The sequence below is a fragment of the Homo sapiens genome, chromosome 4 (assembly GCF_000001405.40).
Source record: "Homo sapiens chromosome 4, GRCh38.p14 Primary Assembly".
Taxonomy (NCBI): domain Eukaryota; kingdom Metazoa; phylum Chordata; class Mammalia; order Primates; family Hominidae; genus Homo; species Homo sapiens.
The window spans coordinates 189,805,582-189,821,495 of NC_000004.12; the positions used below are offsets into that span (position 1 = coordinate 189,805,582).

Here is a 15,914-nt window from a genome sequence, read left to right on the forward strand (position 1 = left end):
CAGAGGATGTGTCCAGCACGGTTCCCTGCACTAACAAGCTTCCAGCGTGAGCAGCAAGGTGCCACGGAGCACTGCGGGGAGCAAGGTGCAACACTGCTGGGAGCAAGGTGCCGCGGGCACTGAGGAGCGAGCTATAAGAGACCGGCGCTCTCCACCGCACAGCACAGAGGGAAGGCCCAAAGCTGAGAGTGGAGCAGACTTTGAGAAACACTTTGGGGAACTGTCCCCACATCAAATACACAGGATTGCTAGAGGAATCTGAAGACTGTGGATCATGGAGGATAATTATAGGAACTACAAATCTCAAACCCTTCCCAACTCCTCACTAGATGAACACAAATGCCCACACTAAAGGCCTCGCAGATCACCCACTTCCACACACAAAAACTATCTAGCTTTGTCTCTACTGTCCTGAACAAGATGTCTGACTTTCCAACAAAAAATTACAAGGCATGTGAAAAGACAGAAAAAAAACAATGCGCTGCCAAGAGACAAAGAAATCTGCAGCCAGGTGCCATGGCTCATGCCTGTAATCCCAGCACTTTGGGAGGCTGAGGCGGGTGGATCACCTGAGGTCAGGAGTTTGGGAACACCCTGGCCAACATGGTGAAACCCCGTCTCTACTAAAAATACAACAAAATTAGCTAGGCGTGGTGGTGCATGCCTGTAATCCCAGCAACTTGGGAGGCTGAGGCAGGAGAATCGCTTGAACCCAGGAGGCGGAAGTTGCACTGTGCCCGGAATTGGTGGGTTCTTGGTCTCGCTGACTTCAAGAATGAAGCTGCGGACCCGTGGACCCTGGCGGTGGACCCTCGCGGTGAGTGTTACAGTTCCTGAAGATGGTGTGTCCGGAGTTTGTTCCTTCAGATGTTCAGATGGGTCCAGAGTTTCTTCCTGCTGGTGGGTTCATGGTCTGGCTGACTTCAGGAGTGAAGCTGCAGACCTTTGCGGTGACTGTTACAGCTCAAAAAGGCAGCATGGACCCAAAGAGTGAGCAGCACCAAGATTTACTGCGAACAGCGGAAGAACAAAACTTCCACAGCCTGGAAAGGGACCAGAGCGGGTTGCCACTGGTGGCCCCACCCACATCCTACTGATTGGTCCATTTTACAGAGAGCTGATTGGTCCATTTTATAGAGAGCTGATTGGTCCATTTTACAGAGAGCTGATTGGCCCATTTTGACAAAGCGCTGATTGGTGCTTTTACAAAACTTTAGCTAGACGTAAAAGTTCTCCAAGTCCCCACCAGATGAGCTAGACACAGAGTGCTGATCAGTGTGTTTACAAACCTCTAGCTAGACAGAGTGCTGACTGGTGTGTTTATAAACCTCTAGCTAGACACAGAGTGTTGATTGGTGCATTTACAAAGCTCTAGCTGGACACAGAGTGCTGATTGGTGTGTTTACAATCCTTTAGCTAAACAGAAAATTTCTCCGAGTTCCCACCCTACCCGGAAGCCCAGCTGGCTTCACCTCTCAATGGCACTGGCCATGGGACTTTTCGGCACCCAGCCCGGGCACTCTGGCAGCCCAGAGGGAGCTCGTCCCCGTATCAAGCCCGGTCAAGCCCAGCAGGTGCCGGCCGGCCTCGCGGAGTGCGGGGCCTGCAGAGCCGCGCCCACCTGGAACCCGCGCCCCGCGCCGGCCCGCCAGCAATGCGTGCAGCCCGGGCTCGGCCTGCGCCTCTCCCTCCACACCTCCCCGCGAACAGAGGGAGCCGGCTCCAGCCTCAGCCAGCCCCAGAGAGGGGTCCCCACAGCGCAGCGGCCGGCTGAAGGGCTCCTGGAGCGCGGCCAGAGAGGACACTGAGGCCGAGGAGGCGCCCAGAGCGAGCAAGGGCTGCTAGCACGTTGTCACCTCTCAGCACCATTGCACTCCAGCCTGGGAGACAGGGCGAAACTCCATCTCGAAAAAAAAAATAAAAGGGAATCTGCATAACTAGACTCAGGTGCGACACAGATGTTGGAGCTATCTGATAAAGAGCTTAAAATAATTATGATTAATAAGTTAAAGCCTTCAATAAAGAGGTGGATGATGTTTAAGATCAGACAGATTATTTCAGCATAGAGATGGAAACTGTAACAAATAATGTAGTTCAAATCCCAGAAATAACAGACAGTAATAGAGATGAAAGCATCTTCTACAGCCCCATTGGAAGACTTAACCGAGAAAATAATCAGTAAACTTAAAGACAGGTCCATAGAAAGTACCTAGGCTAAGACACAAATAAAAAAGACTGTACAGCAGCAGACACGGAATAATGCACCCAAGCACCGTGAGAGACTATCAAATGATCTAACACACGTATACGTGGAATCTCTAAAGAGAGAGAGGAGGAGAATAGGACAAAAGAAATAATAGCCAAGAGTGTCACAAACAGACAACAATGACAGACAACAAATCTCTGAGCCAAATAGCTCACAATACCATACAGGAGTAAGTACCAACACACACACACACACACACACACACACACACACACATACATACACACACACACAGACACACACAGAGACACATGCATACTCACAAGACACACAGAGACAAACACACATACACACATACATACACACACACACACAAGCGCATGCGCATGCATGAACGCCTATATATTTTGTATTCAAACTGAAAACAAAACACAAACAGGTAATCCTGAAGTCAGCCAATGAAACACACATTTCTGTTGGGAGCCAGCTTTCCACAGCTCTCTCCTGTTCCCGAACATCTTACAAAGTGTGTCACTGATTGCTCGTTGTCATTTGTTTGTTGTCTCCTGTCTTCTACCAGCTTCTATGAAACTACAGCAGGCTAAATTTTTAGCTTAAAAGTAGAATAAAAGTTCAGACGCTTTATAGCTCTTACAAATTGTATAACAAGGAGCACAGAAAAATTACAGTAGATCTCACATCAGAAATCACGCAATACAGAATGCAATGGGGTGACATCTTGAAAGCGCTGAAAGAAAAAAAAATATCAACTCAGTGTTTTATTCCCTGTGAGAAAATGAAGGAGAAATAAAGACTTTCTCAGACAAATAAAAACGGAGAGAAATCATTGCCAACAGACCTACATGTAAGAAATGTTAAAGGGAGTTCTCTGGGAGGAAGACATATGACACCAGACAGCAACTTGGATTTATACAAAGCAATGAACAGTGTTAGAAACAGAATAAATGAATATTGGATCTCTAGGTCATCAATACCTGTCCCAACCATCCCTAAATTTGGTCACTTGATAGCCAGCCCCCCAAGTGGTATTGAGAAGAGAGGAACAGTCCTACCACCAGGATGAGGAACCAAGACAGTGCATTAATAGTATTGAGGCCAACTGCATCATACAGTTTTAAATGCCTTGACAATAAATAGCACAAAGAATATTCAGAGTTGAAGTAATTCAAATGCAGACATGTTTCTGAGGGCATCAATTCTTGGGGCTACTGCTACTGCAAAAGTTATCCAGACTCTACCTAGAGAGGTGAGCAACATTCCTTTGGCTGAAATGAATGGAATAAGAGAAAATTGGAAAAATGGAAAAGAAAATTCTATGAAAGGGACAATTTATTTAGGGAAACTTCAACACTCTATAGAAATGAGAAATCACAATGGGAGGTGTTTTGCTTTGTTAGTTTGTATAGGTGGCAGCAGACTTAGGGTTTTTTTCTGTTCACTTGGAGCACAGACCATTTGGACTATGCCGGTTTCTGGGAAGCATGATTGGACAACATGCCATTACCAGTGTTCAGCAATATCCAGCTCTCTTCTTCTTTCTGGGCAGATGGGAGACTATGCTTCCCAGACGCTTGCAGTTAGGCAGAGCCATATAACAACTTCTGGCCCAGGAAACGGGAGCAGAAGCAATATGTGTCACTTTCAGGCCAAAGCCGCGAAAAGTCTCTCCACAGCATCTGAGCTTCTCATTCTCTTTGTCAAAGAACCAGGTCTGGTGTGGAGTTGGTAGAGCAACAGGCTAAAGCTGTATGAATTGCTGGATCATTGCATGGAGGACAGCTGCCCTGGAGAGCTGCCTGGACCCACAGAGGATTCCTATACATTTTTTTCACATTAAGCCACTGAAGAAAAAAAATACCACAGGAAATTAACAATTTTCAAAACTGTTCTTTTACCTAAAGCTCTTTTCATATCTTCAGAATATTTTCTTAGACACAACAGAAAAGAAAATTAGGAGGCAAGAATAAAAAAAAACTTCAAGACGGAAAATATTTTTAAAATTTTCATTCAGATTTTTTTTTTACTTTTAATATATCGGCAAGCATAAGGCTATCTTTGGTTTCCATGCAACTGGCATTGATCATGTTCGTGAATATAGCTAGGATACCAGGGCCAAACCGTGTGTGCTCACTTGTTTTCCTGTCTCAGAACAACATGATACTGAAAAGCGGAGTCCCTCGTGTGATGAAAACGTCTCCAGTTCGCAATCAGTTGAAAATGCAGTGGGCCCACAGCCAGAAAGCATTCCTGTGCCGGATCTTTTTTTCAGCACCCTAAATTAACCAGCTGGAATTCCCTTTTAAGTGCCAACCTACTCAGTTTTTCAGAATGCAGAACTTTTCTTTTAATGGGATCTGTCTCTCATCATAAAGGTGGAACCGTGCATTCTTGATGTCTCTCAAAAGCAGTCTTTTTTATACAGTAAGCTCAGGGAGGGTAAACACAGACGCCAGAGCACTGGTTTGAGACGGGGATGTAGCCGCTGTGCAGAGACTCGGGTAGGGCACCGGCTATCGCGGAGTGAAACCCTCAGCACAGTATCCAGGACTGCCTTGTGCAGAACAGGTCAAGATAAAAGAGGCTATTGTAAATAAATATTTAAATTAATTAAATCTATTGATGAGGAAGAGCTCCATGATGTAGGAGCAGAAGAACTGATGCAATATTTCAAAACTGAGGCTGGGCGTATTCCCGCAGTGTTCCAGGCTGAGGCTGGGCGTGTTCCCGCGGTGTCCCGGGCTGAGGCCGGGCGTGTTCTTCCGGTGTTCTTCCGGTGTTCCGAGCTGAGGCCGGGCGTGTTCCCGCGGTGTCCCGGGCTGAGGCCGGGCGTGTTCCCGCGGTGTCCCGGGCTGAGGCCGGGCGTGTTCCCGCGGTGTCCCGGGCTGAGGCCGGGCGTGTTCTTCAGGTGTTCCGGGCTGAGGCCGGGCGTGTTCCCGCGGTGTCCCGGGCTGAGGCCGGGCGTGTTCCCGCGGTGTCCCGGGCTGAGGCCGGGCGTGTTCTTCCGGTGTTCCGGGCTGAGGCCGGGCGTGTTCCCGCGGTGTCCCGGGCTGAGGCCGGGCGTGTTCCCGCGGTGTCCCGGGCTGAGGCCGGGCGTGTTCTTCCGGTGTTCCGGGCTGAGGCCGGGCGTGTTCTTCCGGTGTTCCAGGCTGAGGCCGGGCTTATTCTTCCGGTGTCCCAGGCTGAGGCCGGGCGTATTCCCGCGGTGTTTCGGGCTGAGGCTGGGCGTATTCTTCCGGTGTTTCTCACATTCTTGTTTGGGAAACTATAACGCGCTGCTCAAAGATCATCTTAATTCTGAAATACCCAAAATCAAAACGCAAGATAGTGAAGGCTATAAAACTCTCACCGTATAAAGATTAACTGATGTAATAGAGGCTTTCCATTTATCTATTCAAAACAGATTACTTGCACATCTGTTAGATGCCAGGTCATGGACTCACCTACCTCATTTATGCAGTGCATGGTATCTTGAGATACTAATACTTTGTCCTCCCTGGATTTTTTCTTCTCCCCAGTGTAGCAGAGTGGGGCATGGGCTATGGAGTCAGCCCGCTATGGCATGTTCTACCACTATACCCTCTCCAGCTATTTCACCTGAATGTTACTTAATCTCTTCCTGCTTGAATTTCCTCATCTATAAAATGAAAATCATATCAGTGAGCATTAAAGACTTAAGACATAGAAAGCATTTAGAAAAGTGACATCACAGACCTCAGTGCGACTCATTATGATTTGCTATTATTATTCTCTTCTTAGCCCTGATTCAAACTGATAGCACTTTCTTGTCTTGGAGAAAGTGTATGACAGAGGAGAAAGCGGAAGTGTTTAGGAAAGTCACTCTGAGGTAAGGGGATCATGCACACCAGTGGAAGGCTCTGAGAACATAGCTTGCCAGTGGCTCTGAACCCTCCCAGAAGCCGCCTCCTGCCACAGCCCTGTCCTTGACCAGGAAGGGAACTCTTGCTAAATACCTCATAGGCCCTGGGTTTCCTCAGCCTGCTCTCAGGGGTCTTCCCTCAAAAGCACAGCTTGTTATTCATGCTATCTCTTCCCCAGGCAACCAGAACCAGGGCCCTGTCCTGCTCTCCCTTGGATCAGGCCCCCTAGGCCACCAGGTGCTTGACTCAGCCTTAGACAGCCTCAGCTAGTTCTGGTGCAGAGCAGGTCTTTGACCTGTTCCATAAAGTCCACCGCTTTGCATAAAGTCATTCTCTGTGATCCTACACTCATTTCCCTTCCCGTTACAGGACACGTCCTCACCTGTCAGGAGTAAGCTAGAGCTGGCTTGCACTGGCTAGGGAAGTTGACTATACTAATGCCTTCTAAACTCTGCTCAGTAATGAGATGCTGATAGCTTAAAACTGGCCATGGAGGGAGTATTTACACCTCAGAAATGCAACAGATGTACATTAGAACTTTTTTACCCAGCTACCACTCTGCCTCAGACCTAGAGGCATAGAATTCCCCCACCCTCACTATCTCTGGACCCCTTGGTGTAGACCAGAATCCTGGGCCTTTTGCTTAGTTGGAAAGAAAGGTGGATAATATTCTCCTTAAATGGTCTCCCATGTAATTCCAATTTCTTCTCCACACTGTTGCCAAAGTTTTCTTTATAAAACACATACTCTAATATGCACAGTTTAAACTTTAACATGATATTCACAGTCCTTCTAATCTGGCCCTAACCTTTCTTTTTACTGCTTTTATCTTAACACATATTTATACATTCTCTTCTTGATCCCAGTGATCACTTGCTATTCCCCAAAGATTACCTGCACTTTCAGGCCTCCATGCCTTTACCTACCCATGGGATGCCCAGCCTTTACCTACCCATGGGATGCCCAGTCTTTACCTATCCATGGGATGCTCAGCCTTTACCTATCCATGGGATGCCCAGCCTTTTAGCCTTCTTAGGCCACATTGGAAGAAAAATAATTATCTTGGGCCACACATAAAATATACCAACACTAGTGATAGCAGATAAGCTAAAAGAAAAAGAAATCACACACAAAGAAATCTCATAATGTTTTAAGAAACTTTACCAATTTGTATTGGACTGCATTCAAAGCCATCCTAGGCCCCATGTGGCCTGGGGGCTACGGGCTAGAACAGCTTGACCAATACTGTTTCCTTGTCCTAGAAGGTGCCCTGTTTGAAACTGACCTCTGAGGCCATCTTCCTGCCTGTGGAGAACAGCCCTGGTACATTCCTTCTTCATCCCTTCAGTAGAACATTAGCAACACCTAATTTTAGATGGCTGTGCTCATGTTTCCTCTTCCCTGCTAAGTTTTCTGCTCCCAAATGGGCATCTGTATCTTACCTTTATATCTACTAGACCAAGATAGACCTCAGTAAAATATCCATGCTCAAAACAACATTTGTGACTAAATTAATGAAGGACTGGAAAAGCCATTGAAAGAAAACAATGGAAACAAAAATTCTTCTTTCTCTTCCCTTCCTGAACAATTCATTCCAAAGGCCATTGAGTGGGTTTGGGCAGGAAAGACAACTATGCCACCTATGAGCAGATGGGGACAGAATGAGGTGACCCCCAGCACAGTGGCAGAGCCTGGGTGGGAAAGGAGGGCAACCAAGAGGGGGCCAGGCAGGAAAGATGCCGGTGTCAGAGCCCAAGCAGGGTAAGAAGGGCACCCACACAGAACTATGTCAAAAGATACCAAGCCACCTGAAAGAGGCTCCCATAGCAAAAGCCAGAAAACAAAATCACCATTAAATAAGTAATGGTAACAGGATAAAATTTATTGAATAAAATAGAAAACCACAAATCGTCATGATGTAAATAAATATATGAATCAATTGGAGTTTGATGAGGAACCTCATGTTTTTATAGTCTCAACATACTTCCCACCAAGTATGTGCTAATTGCAAAGGAAAATAAATAACTTTAATGAATAACTTTAACTTTAGTATATTACATACTAGACAATGTTTGTGCAATAGTTTATGAACACAAAGTACTATTATTATGGCAGCACTAAATACTCCATCTGCCTGTGGAGTACACTGGTAGATATTATTTTAATCAAGTGATCCAACTACACATTATCAGTAATGGGACATATCAAAGTTGGGCACCTCCTCTTATGATGCAGTGAGAGAAGAAAGCAAAGTGTCTCTTTTTCACGGTGTTTCCACCATGTTTTTAGTGGCATTTCTACCAGCGATGCGTATCTTGTATATAATCATGAGGAAACATCAAACAAATCCAAATTAATGGGCATTCCACAGGCATTGGCCTGTCCTTTTCAAAGTTGTCAAGATAATGAAGGTCAAGGAGAAAATGAGGCACTTTTCCAGAGTGAAGGAAATGAGAAGGCTGCGGTACTCCCTTGACATGTGGGGATTACAATTTGAGATGAGATTCGGGTGGGGACACAGAGCCAGACCACACCAACATTTAAGTGCAACAGGGGATTCTGAACTTGATACGTTTGCTATGAAGAATAATATTGTTAGGACAATTAGCAAATTTGAATTGACTCTGCAAATTAAATAGTAGAAACATATCAATATTAATTATCTAATGTTGATGATTATATTGAGTACATGTAGGAATATTCTTGCTTATAGGAAACACAGCACAGAATAGAACGATGGCGTATTAGATCAGTAATTTGTTCTCAAAAGGATGACGAAAAATCATTATTTTCATTGTGCTTATAACTTTTAGAATAAAAACTATAAAAATTGTGTTAATGTATAAATTATTTCTAGTAACTGATAATTAGTCTTTTCTGGAGAACCAACTATACTGATTCTCTGTGTAAACTACTTTTACTAAGTATTAGCAATAAGACCTTTTGATTTTCTTTCTTTTTCTCTTGGCATATTTGGTGCATGTTTTTAATTGTAAAAAATCAAATATATGTTTACTTCATAAATATTGTATTTTTTTAAACTTCTGAGTATGAGTATAGAATTTTTATGCTAAGAAAAATAATTGCGTTTTGGTTTGGTTTCAGTGCTTTTTTTAAAAAAATACTAGTAGTAATAGCAAAAATTAATTTCTTTAACAATCTCTTTTCCTAGATCCACATTTGGTTTTCGGATGTTTGTGAATGGATAAAAGTAGTTTGGTCCCTGTTGCCTCAGGGTGTTTTAAAACCGAAATGGAATATATCAAAGCAGTCAACCACAAACACATACACCTGTGCCCTCAGAAGAGGCACATGGAGCTAAGTGATGACCCTACGCCATGCAGGTACAAACCTGACCTCCCAGCTCCTTTGTCCAGCCCATCATCTTCCTGGGAAGCAACATGACTACTTGGGTTTCAGTTGCCCTCTTTTCCTTGATTCTGAGATTTTATGTCTTCATATTTTAACATTTCTGAAATAAAGAGTAATTTTAAAATCTATGTTCAAAGAAATATGATTGCCCGTACATGTATGAGCATAGCTAAATATGTTGGAATAGGTGACAAAATTTTTAGAGCAAGGGGAGGTAAACCCATGAAGAACCATAAGACAGGCTCAAAAATACTATCTATCAACAGCATCAAGCAGTTGACCTCTCAGAGATCCATGAGTCAAACAAGGAAGGCATGAAACAACAAGTGCAGACACAGCTTTTTCGATGTGCATGGAAAGCATAGAAGCCAGTCACTGTCCTAGTGCTGAGGAGGCCTGAGCAGGAACATGGGTTGTAAGATGCAGAAGTCATTGCAATATTGCCATCATGGCAGATACTAGAAAATGATTCAGGAAAAACCTTAGACGTAGGACATGACAAAGGTTTAGACTCAAACTTCAGAACATAGCATAAATTGGCATAAGTAAACAAATGCTATGGTCAGCATTAAAATTTGTCTACATTTCATGCATTTTTAATGCATAAAAGCTGTATATCTTAAAAATGAGGGTGTCATATATTTTTTAAAAAAACACCAATTCCATAGAGTTTTCACTGACACAATGACTAAAATGGCCAATCATTCTTCCTTTTCAAAAGCTAACGATAACATGAACAAGGATGGAGAAATATGGGATTTGAATTCCTAATTCCTTAATGTCTTGAATTAGGACTTAAATCTCCATAAGGAAAGGGTAGCTGAAGCATTTTCTCAAGGCAATGAGCCTGGGAAAACATGGCACTGTGCAAATAGCATGATGTCATCATCAGATGGCTTCATTCTTCAGTTTACGACTTCTCTTTCACTTCCTAATTATTCTCTTCTGTGTGTGCCAGTGGAAGACTAGGTAGGGTTTTCTAATAATGTTGTTATTAGATCTAATTATTAGATCTAATAATGTTGGCATAGAGTCGGCCCTCAATAAATATTTGCTGAGGGCCAACTAAATAGCTGCTAAATAAATATTTGTTTATTCATACTGACTATTTGAATAAAGCAATTGATTGAGTAGAATTAGTTCAACCACACAGAAAAGAGTGTTACTATCCCCTCTGCCCTACACGGCTTCTAACATGGAAAATGTTCTGAGCTCCATTTTCATTCTGTTTATGAGAACTTTAAGTGTCTTACTGTGGGACTGCTGAAGTTCTGTGAAAAAAATACATCTTACAGATCATATTCAACTACAAAAGAAACTTGTCAGAGAGTTTTATTCTTAAAAATGCCAAAACACCTGTTTTGAAAGCTAACCTATAAACCTTTTCCTTTGTAGATTATATTTCATTATGCTGTTTTGATTAGAACTCTGTTTTACTACACCCTAGGGTGTCAGCATGAAGAGTGAGGCTGAGATAAAATTCTGATTCATGGACTAATGAAAGTCTTGATACTTCACTTCCAAGATGACCTTTATCTTCACTCTGGAGCTCTCACTCAAAGAGCTAAAAGGTCTTGCTGGGCTCAGGCATTCTATATTGTCTCTTTCTTCCACAGTCTAGATGCCAACGTTTGTAATTGTGCAGCAGATGGATATCAAAAACATACAAATTAGATACAAATGGGGTCATATTTGGCCTCTCCAACTTGGCCTATTCTTTTTTCATCAACAGCAAAGGTGCCCCGTTTCAGCATACACTTCCCATTTGTCAGTCACTGGCTTCTCTGGTTTTGGTGTCCTCTTTAATAAGGGGGGACAAGCAATCGAATCCGATAAGAAAGGTTTTGGCCCTTATTTTCTCCTGCTGATGAAATTTCCACAAATATTAAAAGAAATATTTTGGCTGTGTGGACACAACACAAAAATGCAGACTTCTTTTTTTTTTTTTTTTTTTTGAAGGACTGTATCTGGTCAAAGTCCACAGGATTGTTTTAACCTAGTCCTTGGATTAGAGAAATCATAAAACTCATACAGGACTCTTAGGTGTTTACTTCATAGTATCATTTGAAATCAGTAAGCATTAAGTCAGAAACGATGGGCGAGGTAAGGTATTATATTAAATTAAGTGGTAAAAACAGCACAGAATGTGGAATTCGAAGATCTGTTCTTGATTTTCAAGCACTGTCCATCAGTTAAAATTAATTAGATGTGTGACTTTTTCAGAAATTTGGCCTCTTCATCCTTAAAACTGAGAATATGTATTTATACCTAATAATATCGAGAACAACATAATCACTATATTTACTTCACAAGATTATTTAGAAATTCAAAGAAGATAAGATTTGTGCAATAATTTATGACCACAGAGTACTATTATTATGGCAGCACTAACTCATAAACAAGAAGCCATCACGTTTGTTGACCCTACAAAAGCACTGTACCTTCCAATAATTCTAGATACCTGGGAACGTGGCATGATTTCAGTATCCATGCTGCAGGATCATACACCAGGGAATGCATACGATCCAAGAAGACATTCTCTTCAGTAGCAAATTCATCATGGTCAGAGGTAAAGCCACTGTTAGAAGCCAACATAGTCATGTGTAACACCATAATTAGATTGCTTGAAACTGACCTATGTCCAGTGCCAATATTTCCTAGGTTCTTTTAGGATTGTCCGTAGTTGATTGCAAATTTGAGAATATGGAATGAAGATAATATGTACCGTACACAACTTATGGGAAATGTAAACCCACAACATGGTACATTTGCTGTGAAGTCGGTCTGGATCACTTTCAAGGACTCAGAGGTGGGTAAGCCTACACAAGCCTATTCTGCATAAGTGAAAACTAACTTCAAGGAGCACCTGGTGAAGTGAGGAAGGCCTAGGGCTTGGGAGTGTTTAAACAGAAACTAAATAACCCTTGGTAAGAAATGTTACAGGAGGGGCTTAATCTTTTGGTAGGAGGTTGGGCCACCTTTGAGGGTTTCGAGTCAGTCTCTGTGACTCAGTGACGTTGCGTGTTTGATCAGTTTGTGTAACTGGACACTGCAACTAATGAAGTAAATAACACATATAAATTTAACTGAAAATTTTTCCAAGATTCAGATGTCAAATTTTATACTGTATAACTTCTCTTAGACCACTTCTGTTGACATTTCTGTAATCTAAAGACAGTATCTGCCTAAATCTTCCCCAAAAACAATAATTCTAAAGTTTGATATCCAAAGTTTAAAAAGATGTAGCAATTATTCTCATGCACTCTTAATATTGGAGGGAAATTAGGAGGCTTGAAAAATGCTCATTCCTTTTTGGCTCGGTACCTCTGGTAATTCTTCTAGGAACTTATTCTAAAAATGGTCAAAACATACACAAAGTTTATATATAAAGATACTCAATTGGGAGTTATATATACTGGTTAAAATGTTTTGTTTTGTTTTGAGATGGAGTTTCACTCTTGTTGCCCAGACTGGAGTGCAATGGCACGATCTTGATTCACTGCAACCTCTGCCTCTGCCTCCTGGGTTCAAGCTATTCTCCCGCCTCAGCCTCCCAAGTAGCTGGGATTACAGGCACCCACCACCACACCTGGCTAATTTTTGAATTTTTAGTAGAGATGGGGTTTCACCATGTTGGTCAGGCTGGTCTCAAACTCCTGACCTCAGGTGATCCACCCACCTCGGCCTCCTAAAATTCTGGGATTACAGGCAGGAGCCACTGCACCCAGCCTAAAATTTTAAAATAACCTTAATGACCAAAAATAAGGGATTAGTTAAATTATGCACATTTATATAATGAAATAATCTGCAGCCCATTAAAAATCATGTTTTATAAAACTTTATTAACAAAAAGAAATGCTCATGATATAAATTTTAAGAATATGTCTAAAAGCAATGTATATTGTGAGATCTCATTTTTGTTTTATATTTGTATAAAAAAATGGCATTTCCTCTGGCTTTTTCTTTGTGTACACACACACATACACACAGATACACACACACACACACACACACACACACACACACAGGCTAGAGAAAATATGCCAAAATATTAGTAGTAATTGCTATCTCTGAATGATAGAATTAGGCATGATTGTTCTTTTATTCCTTATGTTTCCCAGAATTTTCCAATTTTCTACTATGAACAAATACTTTTGTAATAGGGAAAATCATAAGTGTTATTTCTCTTTTAAAGCTCTTCAAATAAGTTCTTCTGAATTCCATGGCTACCATTTAATTCAATAAACACATTCTGAGGATTAAGTTGGGCCAGTGTTTTATCATTACTATCAAAATAAGAGAGACTGATGGAGACAAAAAACTTCATATGATACACTTTGATGTGTTACATAATATATAATATTTAAATATAATTATATTATTAAACATAATATAATACTTAGAATAATTAAATATATAATTATTGCTGAGTTGCTCTGTTTTATTGATTGATTGATTGATTGATTGATTGAGACAGGTCTCACTCTGTTGCCCAGGCTGGAGTGCAGTGGCACAGTCATGGCTCACTGCAGCCTCAATCTCCAGGGCTCAAGTGATCCTCCTTCCTCAGCCTCCCACGTAGCTGGGACTGAAGCCGTGAGCCATCATGCCTGGCTAATTTTTGTACATTTTGTAGAGACAGGGTTTTGCCATGTTGCCCAGGCTAGTCCTGAATTCCTGGGCTCAAGTGATCCACCTGCCTTGGCCTCCCAAAGTGCTGGGATTACAGGCATGAGCCATGACATCAAGGGGCTCTGTTTAATTTATAGTCACAATTTAAAGATTTATACTATGCGATATGTAATAAGGTACTTGTATTGTTTCCCATCATATTCTATTCTTTGTACATAATCAACGTTCAATATTTCTTAAGGAAAGAAAAAAGGAAGGGAAAGAGTAACGATTAAATGTATTCCTTATAAAAATGAGTATAGTTCCCTACTATGCTATTTCTATGAAAAACTTAAATTTGACATCGCTATTTTAGCATTTGTCCTATTTTTTCAGAATATATCCCACAGAACAAGACCGAAAAAAAATGGTGATTCTCCAAAGGCCACCAGTGAAGCAGTGATGGAAGTTTGTAGATATCACCCCAAACACACTTAGGCTCCAGGAGGCCACCTCAACAAATCCTGTGTTCAGTTTGGAGATGGAGACTTTCTTCACCATCCTGACTTGCTCAGTGCGACCTTGGGAAAAGAGAAGGATGCAGCTGAGCTGCTGGTCCTGAGGTGCCTCAACTGCCTGGCCACTGCATGCAAGGATGCGGCTGAGCTGCTGGTCCTGAGGTCCCTCACCTGCCTGGCCACTGCATGCAAGGATGCGGCTGAGCTGCTGGTCCTGAGGTCCCTCACCTGCCTGGCCACTGCATGCAAGGATGCGGCTGAGCTGCTGGTCCTGAGGTCCCTCACCTGCCTGGCCACTGCATGCAAGGATGCGGCTGAGCTGCTGGTCCTGAGGTCCCTCACCTGCCTGGCCACTGCATGCAAGGATGCGGCTGAGCTGCTGGTCCTGAGGTCCCTCACCTGCCTGGCCACTGCATGCAAGGATGCGGCTGAGCTGCTGGTCCTGAGGTCCCTCACCTGCCTGGCCACTGCATGCAAGGATGCGGCTGAGCTGCTGGTCCTGAGGTCCCTCACCTGCCTGGCCACTGCATTCCTCCCGCTGCCTCCCTTGTCTCTGTGGACCCGTCAGACTGCTGCCTCTGCTGATTAGTGACACAAGACCAACAGTGGTTCTGGAGAGACAAACTACCAAATTACACAGATTTAGCACATACGTGTGGAAAACAAAAAATTCAGGGCAGAGTTTGGTTTAGGCAGACTTTTGTTAAACAAATACAGTCAAATCTGTTTCGGATGATTATCTACAGAGTTGGACGCCATGAGAAAGTCAATCCTTTCATAAAAAACATGACTCAAAAGCTCATTAACTATTTTGGAAAAGAAAAACTCAGTAAACTCATAAACTTTAATGAAAAAATTAACATATTAGGTTTTTTTAATTTAATAATATAATGTCCCTGAAGTTCCATGATATTTCTGAAGAAATTGCCTTGTATGAAGTCACACTGTTGGGGCTCAAGCTAAAAGCCATCAGCCAACCTCCATGGAAATCAAACACTGGTTTGAGTGGTGGCTTGGGAGAAATACACACCAACAATCAACATGTCCTGTCTCGGTGTGATGTACCTGAGCGTCCTGTCTCAGTATGATGTACCTGAGTGTTTGTCTCAGTATCATGTACCTGAGTGTCCTGTCTCAGTATGATGTACCTGAGCGTCCTGTCTCAGTCTGATGTACCTGAGTGACCTGAATCTTTAAGAGGCAAGAAGCAACTTAGTATGTGGTTCATGTTTTTAAGGAGAAGGGATGGTTTCTCTCCAGGGCTGACAACAGTTAACAGGCTGAAGATAACACAGAAAATAGGAAAAG

At 42.6% G+C, this 15,914-nt stretch overlaps 2 long non-coding RNA genes across 2 annotated transcripts in view; one reads left to right on the plus strand and one right to left on the minus strand.

Annotated features, from left to right (window-relative positions):
* The window catches only part of FRG1-DT (FRG1 divergent transcript), a 176,343-nt gene that overhangs the window by 41,191 nt on the left and 119,238 nt on the right, over positions 1–15,914 (minus strand). The gene's annotated exons all lie outside the window — the stretch shown is intronic.
* On the plus strand, positions 9,364–14,564 carry LOC105377619 (uncharacterized). The gene is made up of 4 exons (XR_001741969.2): positions 9,364–9,449; positions 11,935–12,046; positions 12,123–12,286; positions 14,485–14,564. It is a non-coding gene; the product is annotated as an uncharacterized LOC105377619 (long non-coding RNA).